Here is a 20001-nt window from a genome sequence, read left to right as displayed (position 1 = left end):
TATGTTATTTACATTGAAATTATTATAGCTCTGTATTTTATTTACTGAGAGAGATCAAGAAGTTTTCCGTATGTTAATTGTTTAATCTTCTCAGAATTTAACATTTGACCACAAAGAGATTAAATTGTTCTCTTAAGTTGTATATGAACTAAACAACCTTAGTTAATTAATCCATTACTAATTACATCCTGCAGATTATTCCATTAGTTAGAGAGCACAGAATTCAGGTCAGCACTTTTTCTTTGCACACCTGCTTGAAATAAAAAGTGCTTCTAATAGGTTTATATCTAAACCCAGCAGTATATCTCCTTCTCGCGGATTTATACCTAAATCACACCATGATTTTTAACATCTGGTTTCTTTTGCCTCTCTCAATAATTTTTTGTTGTTGTTCATTCCATCAAATGTGAGTTGAGATGTGGGAGGCATAAGGTCAAATTCCTGAAATTAAGTTAGATTTTGAAAACACACTTGGAATAGCATTTCTAAAGTTTACCTGTGTACTTAATAAATAAAACCTTAAAATTAGACCCAAATATGAATTGATCCATTTCTAAAAACGTTTGGAGCTTCCAGTTAGTCTCTAGGCACTCTGAGACTATGAAAATTTTTCTGCTAAGCTATACTTCCAAGAAATATATTTTTCCTTTAATGTCAACATATTGAAATCATTATCATTTTCTTTCTACCTTCTTTCCAGGACAACTAAACTACCTCGGATCAAGCCACCAAATATGGCATATCCTTGCAGTAGTGATGTTATATTGGTGGCATCAGTCAACAGTGTATGTCATGCAGTACAGACATAGCAAGCCTTGTCCTGACTATGTTTCACATTTGTGAATTAGGTATGGCCACCTGGTGAATTCAGTTGTTAAGCAATATATAATGGGGAATTGTATACCCCACTATTTCTAAGATTCCCATTAGTTTTCCCTTTTTCCTTTTTAATATGAGTAATGCTTTATAAAAATGGGAAAAAAAGTATACTTAAGGATCTGTAGTAATAACTGCTTTACAAAATCCTTAAAACTACTAATTTGCTGCTTGTACAGAAAGTGAAAATTAGTTGGCAATCATAAGAAACATCTGAATAACAACGATGAATGGGAAACTAGTGTTGAAATAGGATTCATTTTACTTAGCACCAGCTTAATTTCCTTAGGAAGGGCTCATGTCCATTAGAAAATGGAGTCATCTTATGTGCTTAATTATTTTCAGTTAATTGTCAAGTTTAAGTGCCTAATCAAGGCAAGTGTTGTTTCAGCCTATGCTTAATGCAAGCTAGGATAGTGATTTTAAATAATCACTAAAATCACTAGATTTAAATAATCACTAAAATGATTTGTGAGAAACTGGCACTTCAGATATTATATCCTTTAGCTATAGGTTCTTCTCTCCCTAAGAACATTAGATATTTTAGTTTTCCAGAACAAAAGCTTTAAACTTCTGCAGTAAGTTGAGAGAAGGGTTGAGAAGAGGAAAAGAACTTCTCATTTTCTATCAGATAAGAATCACATTAGAAACTAAGTACAAGATTAGACAACAAATTATGTGGTCAAATAATATAGTCATTAGCCACCTAAACATTTTAATTCCAGATATTATTTAATTCCATATAATAACTGAATTCTTGTGAGTGGATTACAGGTTTTTGATCCCAAAATTCCAGAGCTTTCAACTCTCTGAATTTGTAGTCCTGAATATCCCAGTGGTGGGGGTTCCCAGCATTGTGGGTGCTACTTGCAAGGCCATAGAATCTAGATGGCCCTGTCTTGACCCTGAAATGAACCTTAAGCCTTAGAACAAAGTCATGCAGATGCCCCATTTGATAATAATCTTATTCACCTGTGCTCTGGTCCTCGGTTTCTGCATGTGTTAGCATTGCATTGATAACTCAGAATCTTGATAAACACTTAATATTTGGGCCTGAAGCATTAAACTTTCTTTTTATTGTATATACTTAAAAAATAGAACTCACTGCCCTATCATACATTGTAGCCCTCTTATTCTTTGGTCTTTCATATGCATTAGTTAAATCCCTTAAAGTAGACATTCATAAAAACTTACATTGTTTATTGGAGTATAAAATATTACCCAAGTTTCTTCATGAGTTGACATGAGCTGTTTTAAATACTGGTGTATTTTCAGAACAGTAAAATTACTGAATATCAGAAAAAATGTTAATTGATGATGAAGCTTATTCCCAAAATGCCTTTTGTGCATATGATACTTGGAAAGTCACTAATGTGCCTCAGTTAATACATCAGTAAAATGTTGTGTTTCTTTTCCAGTGTAGTGTTTTTGGAATATAAATTCCCCATGCTAGTATAGTATCTCAGCAAAGAGAATTTCCCCCCAGGAGGCTCAGTAAAGGAATACCGTGTCTTACCCATCGTTATGATGGAAGGCTGCTTTGAAAATGGCTGTTTTACCTTATAAGGTTAAAATTTTGATCCATATGTTAAGTGATAGAAGATTTTGGTGCAACAGTAGTAGGATATATTTCTCCTAGAACATCCCTTATTGGCTTACATGATTTTATTGCCTTTTAATAGATATTTTGTCATTTTGGCCAAACAAAAGACACTGAGTAGTTACACTTAAGTTAAAAATGAGGGGAAAATCATTATTTTAGGTGTGGAGCCATTTTTATTATAAAACTTTCTCAAAATAAAAAAACATTGAATCATTTCAATTTTTGCAGTCCCTGTATTAGTATATGAATACATACTTGCCATTTGAATTAATAACATGAAAAGAGTATACTGTGTTTTTAAATCCGTGTTTCTTTGAATTTAAAGGGTGTACAGGTCTTTCTGTAGGGAAAATTATTCCATGTAAACATTTCAACTCTGTATGAAAATGTTAAATATTGTAAGAAAGTTATCCTCTCATTTTTTCACTGCTATGATATATTTATTATAAAATAGGGAATGAATGAATGAATATGGATTGCTGTTAACTAGAAACACTTCTGTATGTCAGTCAGCATTTAATGACCACCTACTGTGTGCACAGCACTACTGGTAAAATTTTGAAGACATTGTTAACATTAAAAAATATTTTAAAGTTGTCTACAAATCTGAGCCTTGTAATGATGTATATTTAAGTTATTTTTGTTTTTATAGATTAAAGTAAGATTAAAATATACTATCCAGTTTTATTACTAAAAAAGACTGGTTTTAATTTTACCAATGTGTGAACTATAAAAGCTTTTTGCCTACAGATTTTACATTTTAAAATTATCTATGGCTGTTTTAAATTGTCTAGCAATTTATATGGTTGTGGTTAACTCATTTAAGAAACAATTATCTTTCTATATTAAGCCATTTTCAAATAGCAAGACAGTGCTTGTCTTTTTTTGTTATTACACTAACTGCAATTCAGTAAGCTGCATGACAAAATATGTATTATGTAAATAAACTGGGTTTACTAAATATTTTTAACTGCTGCTTGTCATTCTTTGTAATACATAACAGCTTTAAAATCATATTTTAGAATCAGGAACGAAGATTCAGGGAATGTCTGTCACATCTTATGGCATCCCACCTGGACAGAATATCCGATTTGAAGATTGTGATTGACTTCCGTAAAACTGTACAACTCTCCATTTGGCAGGTACCTACTAGATAATACTTTGCCCTGTATTAAATGTCAAGGGGCAAAGCCTATTCCTGTGAATTCCTGCTGGTTGCTTTGCTGCATTAGGTCCCTGTCCACTGTAAATCATCATTCCTGGGAATTCTACTTCTGCCCAAGTGTGTAAAGAATCAGCTCACCTATTAGAGAAGGGGTAGAAATACCTTCTGTGTGCATTATCACAATAACTGTGTTTACACTAAAGAGGTGTAAATACAGTCCTCTGAAATTTTGTACCAGAATTCCCAAGTAGTGTAATGAGATAATGATCCAGAACTGAAACTACCCTTAAGAAAACATTTTTGGAAGGGAGAGGTAAATAGCAGTAGGGGGTTTCTTGTGAAAAATTAACCTCCATCCTTAAGAGGGCTGAAATGAACAGCCACCAAGGTTCTAGTCCTGCTCTATAAAATCTGAGATCAAAATACTACCTAACCTGCACATAATCTCAATTGTGACAACCATCTGAACTATCTCATTTAATATGTAACAACAAATACAAGCTCAAGCTTTCAATATGAGAATATTAACTACATGTTACATATGATGCTTGACCTGGGCTTCCTTAAAAAGGTATTCGTTATCCAAAATAAATAGCTCAAATTGCAGCATATATTCATCTCAAGTAACTATAACTGAATTTGAACAGTAATACACTGCAAACTATTCTTTGTTAATAGAACTTTTCTAATCATTTGTGTTATTTTGCTTTGTACCATTCATTTTCATTAAAAAGATACAAAGCCCCTTTTTTTCACATAACTTTAGATAAATGTTACAACTTCAGAAAAAGTTAATTCATAAAAATAGGATGAACCTTTCCACAGGCTACCAAAGACTCCAGTTTTTGGAATAATACATATTATAACCTTGATGCCAAGCTTAGTCCATCAATCCAATAAATAGGTTTTCTCTTTAATGTGTCATAGCCTCTTTTCTGATATAATTGAGGATTACAATGTTATTTAAGCAAATAACCAGTATTAATTCAGCCAAAGATGTTATCAGTTTTAAAGATTTTTAAAAATTTATAATGTGGAAGCTGTAAAATAAGTTATTCAGAAGGCACTACACAATATTGTTTTTGCCTTACTGTCATCACTCGAGTATCAGTAATTATGACTCACTGAAAAAGTCGTGCTATTAAGTGTTCTTGTGGCAAAAACTCTTAAGTCAAATGGGTTTTCTTACCTAAATTGTAAACTCTGAGCTCCTTAAGAATAGGGATCTAATCTTAGCAACTTTTCTATTCCACTAGCTGCTACATAATAGGTGCTTAATGTTTGTGGTGTGAATGAAATAACTGAATTTGAATAGAAGTTTACATCCAAAAGTCATAATAAGACAAATAATGAAAAACTCCAAAGTCACTGATTATAAAGAATATGCAATCCATTTGGGATTTATTGCATTTAAAGAAAACAGATTAAAACAGGTATGATAAATACAGTAAGAAAATAACTTTAAATTTCAAACAAAACAGTGAATCAGGGACAGAATTCAGTCAAAAAGAATAAGCAGTGTAAAGGCAATAAAGTAATAAAATCAGTTAGTGCTTAATTAGATATGGCAGGGGAAAAGGGGTGGGAGGGGGAGACTGAGTCTATCTCATAATTGTTTCCCAGCTATATTTGAGGACTGAAGTTACTTTAGCAAGTATGTTTTGTAACAAGTAGAAATACAATAAAGATGTAAATTTGCTTTATTTAAAGGTTAAAGTTATTTGCTTAGTGGTACATAAAAGGCTTCAGAAAATTCAAGTTTAACAAAAAATGGAAGTGTAATCAAAGAAAGTGCACTTAAAGCTGTTTGCCAGCAATTAAAAAGTAGCTTCTATACAGCTTCTATTAGATGACTTTTCAATCACAAAAAGAGCATAGTCATAAAAACAATTCTTTCAAAAGTAGCAGTATAAATTTTAAAATAAAACAAAAATAACCCCAAATCATGACCCTTTGCATTATCATCTACCTTATTCTCTTAGTAGCTTTTGTAAACCCTCACTAGGAGTGAATGTTCTCTTAGATATGATTGTGGTTGCAATTCCATTTTTTAAAAATTCACATTAACTCCACAGTAGAGAGATGTGACATGCATGTGTGTACATATTTTTATCTTAATATATAAAACACCACTGAGTATAAAAGTTCTCAAATAAACTATTCATCATTTATGGTATTCTCACAGTAGATATGTCATCTCATTCTCACAGTAGACTGTCAACTCAATAATTGGACCTAAAATAACAAGTTTGCTAAAAAGAAAAAAAAATGAGAAAAAAGTTTACTGCACATTCTAAATATATTAAAAACAAATGTACCCAAGCGCCTCAAAACTAGTGATATTAATACACTTGTACCTTCTAACAGTGCTTACGTGAAGTACCAAAACCTAAAATAAACCAAGCAGAGTAGCTGACTTGTAAGAAAACTGCTCTGCCTGGTGAACTTCAGCATAGAAGAGTGGGCTCCACCTTAGATTTTCCACCAGCAAGAGGACAACAGTCTATCACTCTTAAACAATAAACAGGGTAAGACTGAAAGTTGTGTCTATTTGCAAATCCGGATAATGTCGTAACTATACCCAACACGTACACAGGGATTGGGGTAAGGGAAAATAATTACACTCCTGAATAAATGTTCTAGTCAGTTAAATTTTCATCCGGCCTACAACCTTTCCTCCTCCACCTATTATACTTACCATGCAATTTTTGTGTCTTAGCAGATACATTCTTCAATGCCATAAAAAGCTGATCTTTTTAATACTAACATTTTACTGACGTGATATTAAAATAAGCAAATGGTCCACTTTTTAAAGGATTATTCAAAATCAACAAGCATTATTAAAGCTGTTAAGAAACAACTTTGGCCTCAAGATTTTTGCTAGCTTCATAATAATTTACTTCTCTTAGTGATGTTCAAGTATAACAGGTTTAGTTATAACTACATCCTAAAGAAGCACAGGGGACACCCAAATAATATTAGGGAAAAAAAACCCCAAATATATATATATATATATATTTGCTTAGTGGTACATATATAATAACCTTTCTTCCTTCCTTAAACCAGAATTGAACCATCCCATAATAGAGCCAAACTTTTATTGAGTGCTGTGTGCCAGGTACTGTGTTAAGCACTTTCACATATCTTGGGAGCTTTATTCTCATAATTCTCACAAGGGAATAACCTGAGCATCAGCTGTGTGGAGTGACCTACACCTTGACCATGATTCTGGGGGATGATGAATGAAAATGCAAAGTATAAATCTATACTCCTTAGGAAAATGCCTCTACTACAACACAAAGGAATCTCTCCATTTCTATCCTATTGAACCCCCAATTGAATCCTGTATCTTTTCTCTGAGCTACAATCTTGAAAGAAGAAAGTCACTGTGCTGTGTTATAAGAATGTAAATATTTTATGCTGTCAGTTGTTTCCTCAGAATTTATAAGTCAAAGGGTCTACATCAGTGTCAGAATCATTTAAAATTATTCAGTGTATTGAAAAGCAAGTAAAACTCTAGGTATTTCATGTTTACATCTGAAGGAGACATTAGTTCATCCTCTACCCCTTTTCTAAATGATGAAACTCATGAGGTCTAGCAGAGACCAAGGACTAATACAATCAAGAAGCATATTGTGTACACCTCAACAGATTTTCATTAAAAAAAATTGTTTGATACAAACCTACTGTAGTTCATGAATTTACTATGTGTAATCATCAACTCTTCACTTTTAAAAGAAAGTATCACTTGAATCTATTTTGTAAAGTTTTTAAACATCTACTTGAGCATTTGCATTAGCAGTATTAATCAACCTGAGAATCAGAAAAAAAAAAAAAGGTGCAAACATATTTGCCTTTGGCACGAGGACAAGTAATTGGTGCAGTCCAGCTCTAAATAATAATGTAATGCTTGGTCTGCCTCTGCTACATTGTGATTCACATATTGCTTCCCTATCCACAAATCTATATTTGATTTAGCATATAAAAGAAGGGAAAAAGCAATAAAAAGACAAATATGTGGTTTAGTTACATATACTTTGCTTCTTTCCAAGTTCAGAACTGTGAAAATAGGCAAATAGCTTATCCCATTGGGGCACTATAAGAGATTCCTAATAAAATTACTCGTAAAATATACTTTGAGATCGAAGAGAGTTAATTTAAAATATAAAAATCAAAGAGAGTGCCAGTTGATGAGTTTCTACTCCTTTCTGTAAATAGCATTAACTGTTCTAGAAACTTCCAAATGTTAATCTGATAGCGCAGCACAATTATATCTTAAAATAGTCATAGACACAGGAAGCACAGATACTATATTCACATTAATTCACATATGTAATCTCTATCATTAAATGATTTCTATAAAACCTCAAGTTTCTAATTAGGATTTGTGGTGTAAAAAAAGGCAAATTGGTAGCTGGGTTCTTTTCAGTAAAGACACAATCAACTAGCAGAATTAAGATGCTAGTCCACCTTATATGCATTTTAGGATCTGGTATATTAGTGCAGAGGTACTTGCAGCAGGATGCATGAATCCTGCCTTTATATAAGGCTTTGTGGGTGTCACCATTCTGTGCACTTTATTAAAACTACTCCACCCCCCAAAACCTAATAAAAATAATTGTTGCTTATGACTTGGGGAATATTTGGTGAAGTTGCTAATAAAGTACATTGTTAAATGCAACATGATTTCACATTGTAAATGTCTTGAAAATTCAGTTTCCGCTACATATTTTCTTCATAAAATAAAATTTTTATACAACCCTTGTCCTCCAATTTTTCCAATAATCTGCTTTATTAGGGCCATCACAATAAAAGTTTGGGGCAAGAAGCCATGCATAAAGTGTTTCTAAAGTAGTGAATGTTTTCTGTTCTGTATCTTTTTTTCTTCTTATAATTTCTTTACAAATGTCAGATATTTCTCTTCATATTTTTGTTCTAGGCTTCTGTGCGACGATAGTCCATTTTTTTAATTTGTTTTAACTGACAAAAATTATATATATTTATCATGTATAACATTGTTTTGGAATATGTAAGTTGTGGAATAGTTAAATTGAGCTAATTACACATTATTTCATATGCTTATCATTAGATATTCCATTTTAATGGCACTTGTTTTTAAAAATGAAACAGAGTTTTAGGCACAATAGTCAGTTACTTCTGGCTCTGCTTTGTGGAGAAAGGTGTATGGACTGAAATCTCTGCACTCTCCAGATAATAACTTTCTAATGCTTTAAGATAACTAGATTGTTTTTAACTGTCTGGAAATTAAAAGAGACCTTAAAAAAAATTCACAAGTGTAACTAGTGTATGTAGAAATAACCCTAATTTTAGGGATATGCACATAAAAATGACATTCTGATATCAAAAATAACAGTTTCACTGTCCCTTCTCAGTGGCTACACACCTAGAAAGGTGCCATGTGCTTTCACTGGAAGTACCACACTTGCATTTCTGTGTTGTGATGTCAGTAGCAGAAACCCTTAGTTAGAGCTTGCAATTTAGCTCCCTTTTCTCCTGAAGAGGAATCAAGTTACTACCCTGTAGAGATACTTCATTCTTCTATTTGGTTTATTTAGAAATCACCTATTCTGACTGATCTTTAAGAATGAATGCTATAAAGAGCTACCAAATTTTCTTTCAAATTCATAAAACTGTTCACACTTTTTTGAAACAGGAGTTAATGCCGAGAATCCATCAGAAGTATCTACTGTTTAGAAGGAAATGGAGCAGCACCAAATGGGTCTAATTCGACTGGTTGGGACTGTTGGGACTGATGTGGAGTGATGCTTTGCACCACAAGTTCTGTAAAGGGCACGGCACCAAAATCATCCATTTTCAATACATCTGCACTATGGAATGACCCATGTAGTGAATTTTGTCTTGGCCGCCCTGGCAGGACAGTATTGTGATCAGCACGGATGTCGCTCAGGCCCTGATGTGGAGGGTGCCATGACAGGTCTGGAGAATGGAAGGGCTTGGCACCGAAGGGGTCCAACAGGCTCTCCTCAGGTTGTAAGACATTCCCCCTATCTTTCCCATCAGTCAGTGCAACACTAATGTTCTCCTTGGAGTCTGAGATGGTTAAAAATTCATTGCTACTTTGAGAGTCTCGGCGGCCCACTTTTTTGTGCCTGCGAGCCCTCTCTGGAGTGCGATAGGTAGGCTTCAAAGTCTTCTTTGTGCTAGTTGGCGTGCCATGATGCCGCTTCCCATTACTTTTGGACATATCCTGCTTTGTGCGCCTTTGGCGAGAGGACAGTTTCTGTAAGCTGCGCTGTTTGACTTTTTGCTGCTGGCTCCCCGTTATTTCATCAAAGGGCACAAGCCCAAAAAGGTCCTCATTGCTTTCACTTTTACTTGTTGATGTGAGGAAGGGCTGAAATGGAGTGGAGCCAAATACATCTACACTTTTGGGATAACCAGGGATAGTATGTGCCTCAGGCCCCACTGCATGGCATTCTTGTACATTCACCTTCTTGCTAAAAGGCGCCTTTGTGAATACATCAAATTCCTCCTGCTCCAGTCCTGCAGCAGGAAACCTGTGTTGAGGGAGGTTCTTTTCATTCTTTTCTTGCTGGGGCTGTTGAGCACGCACTGCAAAGAAGGGGACAGCGCCAAATACATCAAACTCCTGTTTGGGAGTCTCCACTGCAACATCAGAGGATAATTGGGCTGAGGTGAGGAGTATTGTATTAAGATCTTGGGTTGGTCCACTGCCAGATCTGTCTCTGTAGACAGAGCTCATGTCACTGTACTTTGCTTTAGCCTGCTCATAATCAGAATCAGAGCTATGTTTCTCCTCTTCTTCCTCATCTTCAGAATCCATGAGGAGAGGCCTATGACCCAGATTTTCTGGTTCAGTATCATCATCATTAAAATCTCCTTGTTCCCCCTGAAGAACTTCTTCATCATCTTGCTCTTCCTCTTCACTGCTCTTAGGAGAAGGGGGATCTGATTCAAAATCACTTTCAGATTCATCATTCCCCTTTTGCACTTGACCCTGTACTGAGGTTTTCTTTCCAGTCCGCTGATCTTTAGATGCTGGACTTGTTTTACCGTTCTTGATAGGGTTTGCAGTGCCATTTTCTTGATTTATAGATGAATGTTCAGCTTTCTTTTCAGGAGAACCTGCAAGTTCAAATAAATATTATTACAGCATTCCAATGCATTTCAGAATCCTCTTGCACTAAATGTTAATATGTATTACACATGGCATTACAAATCCCTCATACGAGTTCCCTTAGAGGAAAAAATAATGTTGTCAATTCTTCGTCATTAGACTTAGAGAATGCATTTGACCTCAGGTAGATAGTTAAGTCTTAATGTAGACAGACTTATTCATATCTGGACCCTACACCCTGCCTCATCGTACTCTCACTGACAGCCAAATTTTATTTATAGCACACAGAATGTAGTAGACTAGCAAATTTTCTTCACCCCACCACCAAAATAACATTATTCTGCTAATTCTGAAAGCTCAGATTTCACATTCACCAAATACCTCCTGCTTATATTTCAACTCTTGTAAAGTTTTCCCATAGAGATCAACAAGCATGAACAGCCTGCCTGCTCAGTTACGTATTTGTTTCACTATTTTTTTAAATCAGCATTGTATTTTTTATAAACCACTATCTTTTGAATTGACTTAGCATGAATGGCCTCACCAAAGCTAAGGACCAGATACTAAATGGAGACTGTACCAAAAACATCTGCCTTCTCTAGATGATATGACTTCCTTTAATTATAATATCTATACATTACATTAAAAAAGCGAGATTCCTTTAAAAACAAATCTAAACCATCTGGAGATGTTTTTAGCTCAGAATCCATTCAGTCACTTCATTTTCTGAGTTCATTCAACGAAAGAAATATAGGGCACTTTGCTATACACTGATTATACATTGGTGAGTAAAAGAAACATGGTTTCTGCTTTCAGGGGTTTACAGTCAGAGGTTGTAAGTAAACATAAATTGTGACTAGTGCTCTGAAATAAAGGACAGCAGGGAAATGGGCGCATAAACCTACTTTGGACAGTGGTGAAGACCTCCCTAAGGAGACGACAGTTAGGATTGAACAATGAGAAGGAGCCCAGCCATGCAAAGGATAAGCTGGAAGCAGCTTCCAATAAAAGCAATGGCATATATAAAGACATATTTAAGGGGCTGAAAATAGGCTATTGTGGCTGGAATATAGTGAGCAAGGGAGGATCAGGTACAACATGAGGTAAGGAAGACTGGAAAAGGCCAGACTGTGAAGGTCCTCTAAGGCCATGATAAGCAGCGTATATTTCATTATACATCTAATTCAAAATTCCATGTATAATGGAAAGCTATTATTAAAATAGGTGTCATGATTAGGTTTACATAAAAAAAAATGACTGCTCTATAGAAAAACACTAAGGGGGCTGGGTGCGGTGGCTCACCCCTGTAATCCCAGCACTTTGGGAGGCCAAGGCGGGTGGATCACGAGGTCAGGAGTTTGAGACCAGCCTGGCCAACATGGTGAAACCCCATCTCTACTAAAAATAGAAAAATTAGCCAGGCATGTTGGCAGGTGCCAGCTGAGCCAGGAGAATCGCTTGAAACTGGAAGACAGAGGTTGCAGTGAGCCAAGATCGCACCACTGCACTCCAGTCTGGGCCAAAGAGCGAACTGTCTCAAAAAAAAAAAAAAAAAAAAAAAAGACTAAGGGAAGGTAAGAAGGGGAGTTCAGGCAAAAGGAAATTATAGTAATGCAAGTTAGAGATTTTGGTGGCCTAGATGACATGACAGTGGTGGCAGGGTGGGTCAAAGTAGAAAAAATAGAGATTGAAAACTCTTGGTGGATGGCAGCACCATTAACAGAAAGAAAAGAATGAGTGGCGTGATAGAAACCCATTTACCCTGATGTGATTATTATGCACTGTATACCTGTATCAACATATCTCATGTACCCCATAAATGTATATACCTACTATGTACCCACACACAAATTTTAATGAGCATAATTTTTTAAAAAATGAGTAAGTTGGAAAGTGAAGAGGAGTACTAAAAATTTTGTTTGGAGACATTAAGCTTGACATATGTGTGAGACAACATTTAAGTGTACAGCAGTTAGGTATCTGTGATTTGAAACCAATGGTTAGTTTTTGGCTGAAGAAAATAGATTTGGGAGTTATCACCATGCAGTTGGTATGCAGAGAGAGCCACAAGACTAAAGGGCATACCTCGGAAGAAAACATAGAAGAAAAGAAGATCCAAAACTGAGCCCTCAGTATAAAACATTCAGAAGTCAGCAGAGGAAGATGAACATACAAAACAAACTACAAAGTAACAGCCAGAGAGGAGGAAGAAAACAGCTGAGTGCAATGTCACAGAAATGGAGAGAGAAGAATGTTTGAGGGAGGTAACAGACAACTGAGCTGGATGGTGCAAAGAGGTCCAGTAAACTAAGGACATAAAATGGCCACTGGATCTGGTCATCTTGTATAGTTTGTTGGCAATGTTGACATGAGTAGTGGTGCTAAAGAATGTGTGGGAGACAAGTATGTGAAGAATACCACCAGGTTATACTTAATTGCAAATATAATCTTCTGTCAGTTCCTTAAAACCAGCCAAGAGCTACATGCTGTATTTGTTATCCTTCCAGATTAAAAGCAAATCAAATGCAGATTCTCAAGTTTGACTTCTTCCCTACACAGCGTATTTATGATATTAAAAACAAAGTTAATTTTAGTGAATTTATTTTTATGAATTTTTATTCAAAAGCAAAATATGGGAAGAAGGGAAAAATGAAAATAAAATATGTACGGTTCCAGAAGATTTCCCATCATCCCTGACTGTGAAACGTTTAACGTATTACTCCTCGAGCTGCATACCCACCCACAGCCACAACATTCACACCTCACGCCTGCTCACGGACACCTCCAAGTAACATTCCAATGTTGCCCAAAGTGTATTCTGCAGAGGCTATTTCCCTAACAAGAACCAAGACAAACAGTTCTGTGGTCTCAAGCAAACAAGTCTATGAAATGGTGCACTCTGCATTCTGCCTCCACTCCTACTCACCTGGAGTATGCTCATTAAAGGTGCTAATGAGTCCTACACAAAAGAATCTAATTTTATGAACCCTAGGATTTCCCAAATTGTCTTCACTACCCTTTTATTTACATGTAATGCCTGTTAACCTTTAAAACCAACTATGCAAAAGTACTTTGGGGAAATGCTGCTATACAACTTATCTTGAAATTTTCCATTTCTAGTTGTGTTCCTGAAGGTCTTCTGGAACATTTAACGTAGGACAGATAATTCATCTTGGAGAGTGTCACTTGGAAGTGAATTTAAATTCGCCTTCTTTTTAAAATTATTACATTGTACTCCCTAGTCTTCTTAAAATTTACTGTTTTCATTATTCAACTGGCTACCATTACTTTTCAGAAGACATCTGTCACTTTATACTTCTCATTCTGTTGGCCCTTTGTCCATTTATCAAAGTTGTATTAATAGAAATACACATTTATAATTGTCAGTGTGGGTATAAATCTGTGGGTTTTTAACTTACTATTTTTAATGCATCTTTTCAGGTATCAACAGTCTATTATTTATTCTGATAGAAATATGATAAAATATTCCATATATAACTGTTCACTATTTAGCAATAGAATATTTAGGTTGTTTCTAGTTTTTCGGCATTTTAGATACAACCATGATTCATGCACTTTTTCCTTCAAGGAGTAAAAAGGAAACCCTCCTTTTTTAGTATCAATTTCACTTTATTTATATACTATGATTCCCTCCTCATGGGTAATTAACACAGCTACTAAAGCTAACCCAATAATAATCCTGACAAGGTCACCACTATTCCACTTTCTTTATACACAAAATGGGATAACACATTTTATATCATAGAGCTATTGTGAAGAAAGGACTTAGAACGGTGCCTGAACACATAATAAGCACTCTACCATCATCATGTCCTGGGAATGGCCAAATTCAATTATTTTATCCATCATACCCAATAAGCTTCTAGTAACTTTTCTGGGCCCAGTGGTTGCAGGTGAATATAAATGAGGGAGAAGTGTAGGGAGAAGCAAGTCTATGGCTAATTCAAGAGGAGCTGAGATCCACTTCAGAACTGACCAGAAGTAAGTAGACCAACAAATGTATATCCACACAGCATAAGGGTACATTTTAGATCCTGGAAATTCTATTTTTGATTTTTAGACAGCTATATTTGAGAACACAGTATAAGAAATGGAAACACACTTTCAAAAAGAGCAAGAAAAGACACAATCATCTATACCACCTTTGTGCTTTCAGGTTACATCTGCAAATAGTACGGGCAACTGGGGAAATTTTCTGTTGGTGTAGATAGACTGGTTTTACTTATTTTGCCCCCCTACATAAAACTAAAATAACAATCAAAAATATTTATCCAAATTCCTGTTTTCTCCCATATTCTTGCAACCCACACTGACATTGTTTAAATATTTCACTCTACACTTTTACTGCTGTTATAAACTTATAAAAAGTAAAGAGCAGTAATGAGGCTCTCTGAAAGCATACTAAGACAAACTATTAATCCTTTTATCTCTCCAGTACCTCCTGCTGAGGAAAAGTTAGGTTCCAGGCTGCAAGTTACCACAATCCAAGGTAAGTTTCTGCAGTAGCAGTGATCTACTTAATCATCTATTCATCATGAAACTACAGAAGAGCTGGGAAAGAAAGGTGAATTACACAAAAATAAAAAGTATTTCAGTATATTCTAAGGCTTTCAGTCCTATTCCATAGACATAAAAGACTGTCAGAATAAGTATTTTAAGTTATAAAGTTGGTTATAACTATACAATGCACAGCACTTTAGAATGTGACCTCTAGCTAAGAATGCCATAAACCTTCATACTCCATTTCTTTGCCTAAACATATTCCTATAATTTAAAAAAAAAAATTTCAGATCTTCCCACTATTTGTGTCTGGGGCCAGATTCCCACTAGTTGTTAGATTAAATAATACACATTTGATTTACTATGAAATTTAATCAGGATTATTTCACTGCTAAAGTTAATTTCCCAAAAGTATAAGCCTAAATATGTTGCTTTATAATTCAATATACCCTAAATCCTAATAATCCCCATATTTACTGAGATCTGTATTATTAACATAAAAATAGCTGTTCTTCAAGTAGGTGGGAGATGGGGGTATAATATTTAGAATAAGCACTAACAACATGTATTTACAGCATTAAAAACTGTGTAGATGGTGCACAGAATCATAACTCATTTACATTATTTTAGTATACTGTGAAATTTCATATATTCACCCACTGTTTTTATTTTTGGCTCTAAGTAATGTATTTCTTCTTTTTCTTTAACTAAATATGGTAGAATGATATTTTGATGGTTTCTAGTCAAGATATTCTTTATTTCTGTTTTTGTGCTTTGGAACTACGAACTAAAAATTTTAGCTTTTTTATTATCTTAGGAAGTTGCATGTTAATTACTGACACTAAGCAAGTTTACTAATTATGCAGTGATTTAGTAAATAAATGCCGTGCAAAAATCTATATGATCAACCAATATCTGTAAACAAAACTTAACGAAAGGGTTAATCAATTAATTGAGAGCTATTATTTCAAATGCTGTTCCCCAACTAAGAATGAACCAATAGATTAGTCAAAACATAATACTAAGTAGATTTTTAGTGAAAAAAAATCAAAATAGGAATACATTCATATATTCCACATATTTATACAAAAATATAGAGTTAAATTTTCTTTAGGTAGCTTTGGTACAGAGTTACTAAGAATGTTTTTTCCTACTTTCAAACCAAGAACCAAATTTTCAAAGATTCATTATTGTAGATGGAATTATAACTATCTTATTTTCAGAACCTAGTTAAAATAATAAAATCATAGACTTTCACAATATATAATAATTATGCTCTTATTGAGCCATAATTAATAATTAAGCCATTTCAAGTAGAACTTAAATGAAGGTATACGTCTACTTAACAAAAGAACTTGGAACAGAATACAAGTCTCAACATCAAATGCAGTGCTCTTTCAATTCTTTACTTCTGCTGAATTCTACTATCTGAAAATGAGAGCAAATCCCCATCTTTTGAGGTTGAGTCTGATTGCTGGAAACTGCCAAAATTCATTCAGAGCTAAATTCTGAGAATAAGGTGAGTGACTAAGACAATGCAGATCTGGGTAATTTATTAAGAACAGCAATGATAGGTTATAAAGTTTTAAATTATCTTGTGTGGCTTGTAAACAGTCTCTCAGGAAAATTACAAGTATTGCAAAAAATGTCTGAGCAATGAAGTACCACTGAAATAAGTGTCAAGAGGACACAAATGGTACTTGAATCAGAAATGAATCAGAGGGAATAGGAACTAATATCCTGAAGCACAGTGCCAAGGGTTTTTCATATATTACCTCTTATCTCCCTATATTAGGCCCCCACAACATTTTAGGGCAAAAAATGCTCTGTAAGGTTTACTATGATCTTTCTTAGAACTTTTTTCTCTTCAATCTTATTAACCACATTTTCAGAAACTTTGTTTTCCATGTTAGTTCACTGTCATGACTTCCTATCGTTTCAAAGACATGCATTGTTAACACTCAAAACTCAGTCCTTGGCTTTCTCTTATCTCTTTGCACTTTTTCCTTTTGATGGCTTTAATACTCTTTCATAATTCCAATTATATCTTGAAAGCATAAGAAAGGATTCTGAGAGATTTAGTCCAACATCTTTTTATACGTAAGAAATCTGAGACCTGCCTAAATTTAAGACTATATATCAAAGCCATAATAACTTCTCTGCTGACACTGGCTTAAAACTCTCATCTGTAAATTCTACAATTAAACTACCAGTAGAATATTATCACCAGCAAAAATTCAACAGTTTATCACCAACACACTACAAAATACAAACATGGGCCTGTCTTGCATTTATTTTGTATCATCACTAAAAAACCATGCCCAAAAAATAAAAGCCACGAACAGGATGAAGACTCTTTTGTTGAACCTGTATGATGAGTACCCTGTATTAAAAATTTTTTTTAATATTCTGTAGGGTTAAGTTCTAGAAACACTATAAGGCTTTATCAACAAACAAAAGAATACTCAACTTTACAAAATCCATGAGAGATAAACATCCAAATAAGCCTGAGTTTTCTCATCTAGAAAATAGAGACAATAATAGAACTTACCTGATAGGGATGATGTTAACATAATTCATTTTATTTAGTGAATGTTCACTAAATATTGGGTGGGGGTGTGTGTTAGATTACTAATGTGTATTTTGATAATGAATTCATTCAGCAAGGTATTGTATGGGATACAAAGAAGAATAAGACAATACCAGACTTCAAGAAGCTTACTTACTTAAAAAGTTGTGAAATAATTATGTACATTTATGCATTCAGAAACATGCTAATCTGACTCTAGTGATCTGGAAAATGAGTGACCAAGGTAATAACAATAGGATAATTTTGAAAAACAAGCTTATATTCACCAAATAAATACAAGAACATGAATTTGCCCATTCTGTGCTTATGAGTCTTCATAAAAGGCTATGTTTAGGCCTTTTATGAAGGTGTTAAAATTTGATAATGAATTCATTCAGCAAGGTATTGTATGGCATACAATACAATACAATACCTTGGTGGGAAAATTTCAGACATCATAGCCTTGCACAGTCCAAACAAGGATTCTAAACTCAAAAGTTAAAAATTTGTAGTCAATGCCTAAAACAACATTTCTTAGGCTACATTTTCATATATTTGTTATAGCATTTTTTAAACAAATACTTCATAAAAAGAATGAGATCCTAGTTAATGCCACACTATTTTAAACAAATATTGCAATATATTATTAAATAAACCTTTATAAACTATACCAAAAAATTCAAAATATTTAGAAAATATCCAATATGAAGAGAGAAGCATGTTTGCATCATACTATGCATATTACCGCTCTTCTAGAATCAGGTTTCCCTCTTTTCCTTTTAGAGGGCAGTTGTTCTTTTAGTTATAAAACAGGTGGTACATTTTTAATCATATAAGAAGCTTCCAGTGTCAGGGAAATTTTGTTTTGATGTTCTTTTCTTACCTATCAGATTATAGAAGATAAATGGCTTGAAACTTCTATTGTAATTACATGCCTTCTGTTGTCTCATCATTGAGGGTGTACGGGAGGGGCTATAAGACTTCAAAGTTCACTTTGAATTGGCAGCATACTGCCTGCCATCATCTCCCAGCAATTTACCATGTTAGTCACAAGGATTAGTGGATTAGGAGAAGGTTTTATCAAATCTGTACTGCTTCTCAGAAGGCAGGCCAAGTGACAGGGTTTGAGTATAAGAAGAGAATCCTAATAGTTGTGAACAGTATTTCCCAGCCAGATGAAAAATGCCATAAAACTGACATTTCCATTATGTTCTCATATTAATATAAATTTTTCTTTAAAATAGGTTAATGCTTTGTTTTGCTATTTACAGAATAGGGTTTAGAATGAGACAAAGCCAGATTCCTACTTATAAACTATGTAAGCTTAAGCAAGTCAGTGAACCTTTCTGAGCCTCATTTTCTACTCTATGTATACAGTGGAATTCAGTATATCGTAACTATTATTGCTAACATCCTGAAGTTCTTCAAGAATCATACACTAGAATCTAAAATAAACAATACACCTCATTGTAGCTTATAAAATGGCCCAGCATTTGGACTGACAATCTGTAAATGTTATGTTCCAACAAATATTTGCTCTATGTAAGGTAATGTTTCCCAATCCTAAACTCAATTTAACTTCCTATTAGATAATAAAGCCCACGAGGTGGGTCTAGGGTCTTTGGGAGCATTGAGGAAGTTCACCAAGCCTAATTAAAAATTAAATGCAATATAAGAAATCTAAAACTTCAGTGACCTAATTAATATGGCCTACATGTCACTAAAACTCTTCAAATACAATTTTAGAATTTCATGAAAACTACGTTTTAGAAGTTGTAGGTGTTTATTAAAATGGGGTGGTCCACACTACATTATATAATTCACAGAGCCACCTATCCTATGTTGGTATGCAAACTAACTGTAAAACAGTGCCCTGGGGAGAAGAAAGGGAATGTGGGTTTCAGGAAAGGGAATGAATACCATGCTTTAAATATGATTTTTATGAGTATACTGTAGTCAACACTGGTAGTTAATCCTTTAGTGAAAATAGGAATGGCACCATCTTAAACAGATACTGGTAGTGGAAATCCTCACAAACAGGTTCTACATTTTAAAGGTTTCATTCAGCAGTTAAGAGAAAACTAGCATAACTCATTTAATCCTTTCAATTTTCTTATCAAGTAGCCAGTATTATCTCCAATTTAAGA

At 34.3% G+C, this 20001-nt stretch overlaps 2 protein-coding genes across 21 annotated transcripts in view; one reads left to right on the top strand and one right to left on the bottom strand.

The window, feature by feature from the left end:
* The window catches only part of PAQR3 (progestin and adipoQ receptor family member 3), a 52363-nt gene that overhangs the window by 18057 nt on the left and 14305 nt on the right, over window positions 1–20001 (top strand). For 7 of the 16 annotated variants that reach the window (NR_146462.2, NR_146465.2, NR_146463.2 and 4 more), the window contains one exon: window positions 701–9504. Coding sequence is in view for 7 of the 16 variants with exons in the window: in NM_001350105.2 (NP_001337034.1) it covers window positions 701–843 (143 nt within the window). In the remaining 9 variants the exon portion in view is untranslated. Of the gene's footprint in view, window positions 1–700; window positions 9505–15220; window positions 15275–20001 lie in introns of those variants that run through there. The other 9 variants (XR_007096371.1, XR_007096372.1, XM_047449645.1 and 6 more) reach the window with 6 other exon arrangements.
* Window positions 5017–20001, bottom strand: part of BMP2K (BMP2 inducible kinase) — a 140016-nt gene continuing 125031 nt past the window's right edge. For all 5 annotated transcript variants that reach the window (XM_047415932.1, NM_198892.2, NM_001419799.1 and 2 more), the window contains one exon: window positions 5017–10772. In XM_047415932.1, coding sequence (XP_047271888.1) covers window positions 9349–10772 — 1424 coding nt within the window. In that variant the 3' untranslated portion in view covers window positions 5017–9348. The remainder of the gene's footprint in view (window positions 10773–20001) is intronic.

The sequence above is a fragment of the Homo sapiens genome, chromosome 4, assembly GCF_000001405.40.
Source record: "Homo sapiens chromosome 4, GRCh38.p14 Primary Assembly".
In the NCBI taxonomy this organism is placed as follows: Eukaryota; Metazoa; Chordata; class Mammalia; order Primates; family Hominidae; genus Homo; species Homo sapiens.
Note: the sequence above shows the minus strand (reverse complement) of the source record. Positions and strands in the feature narration are given on the sequence as shown.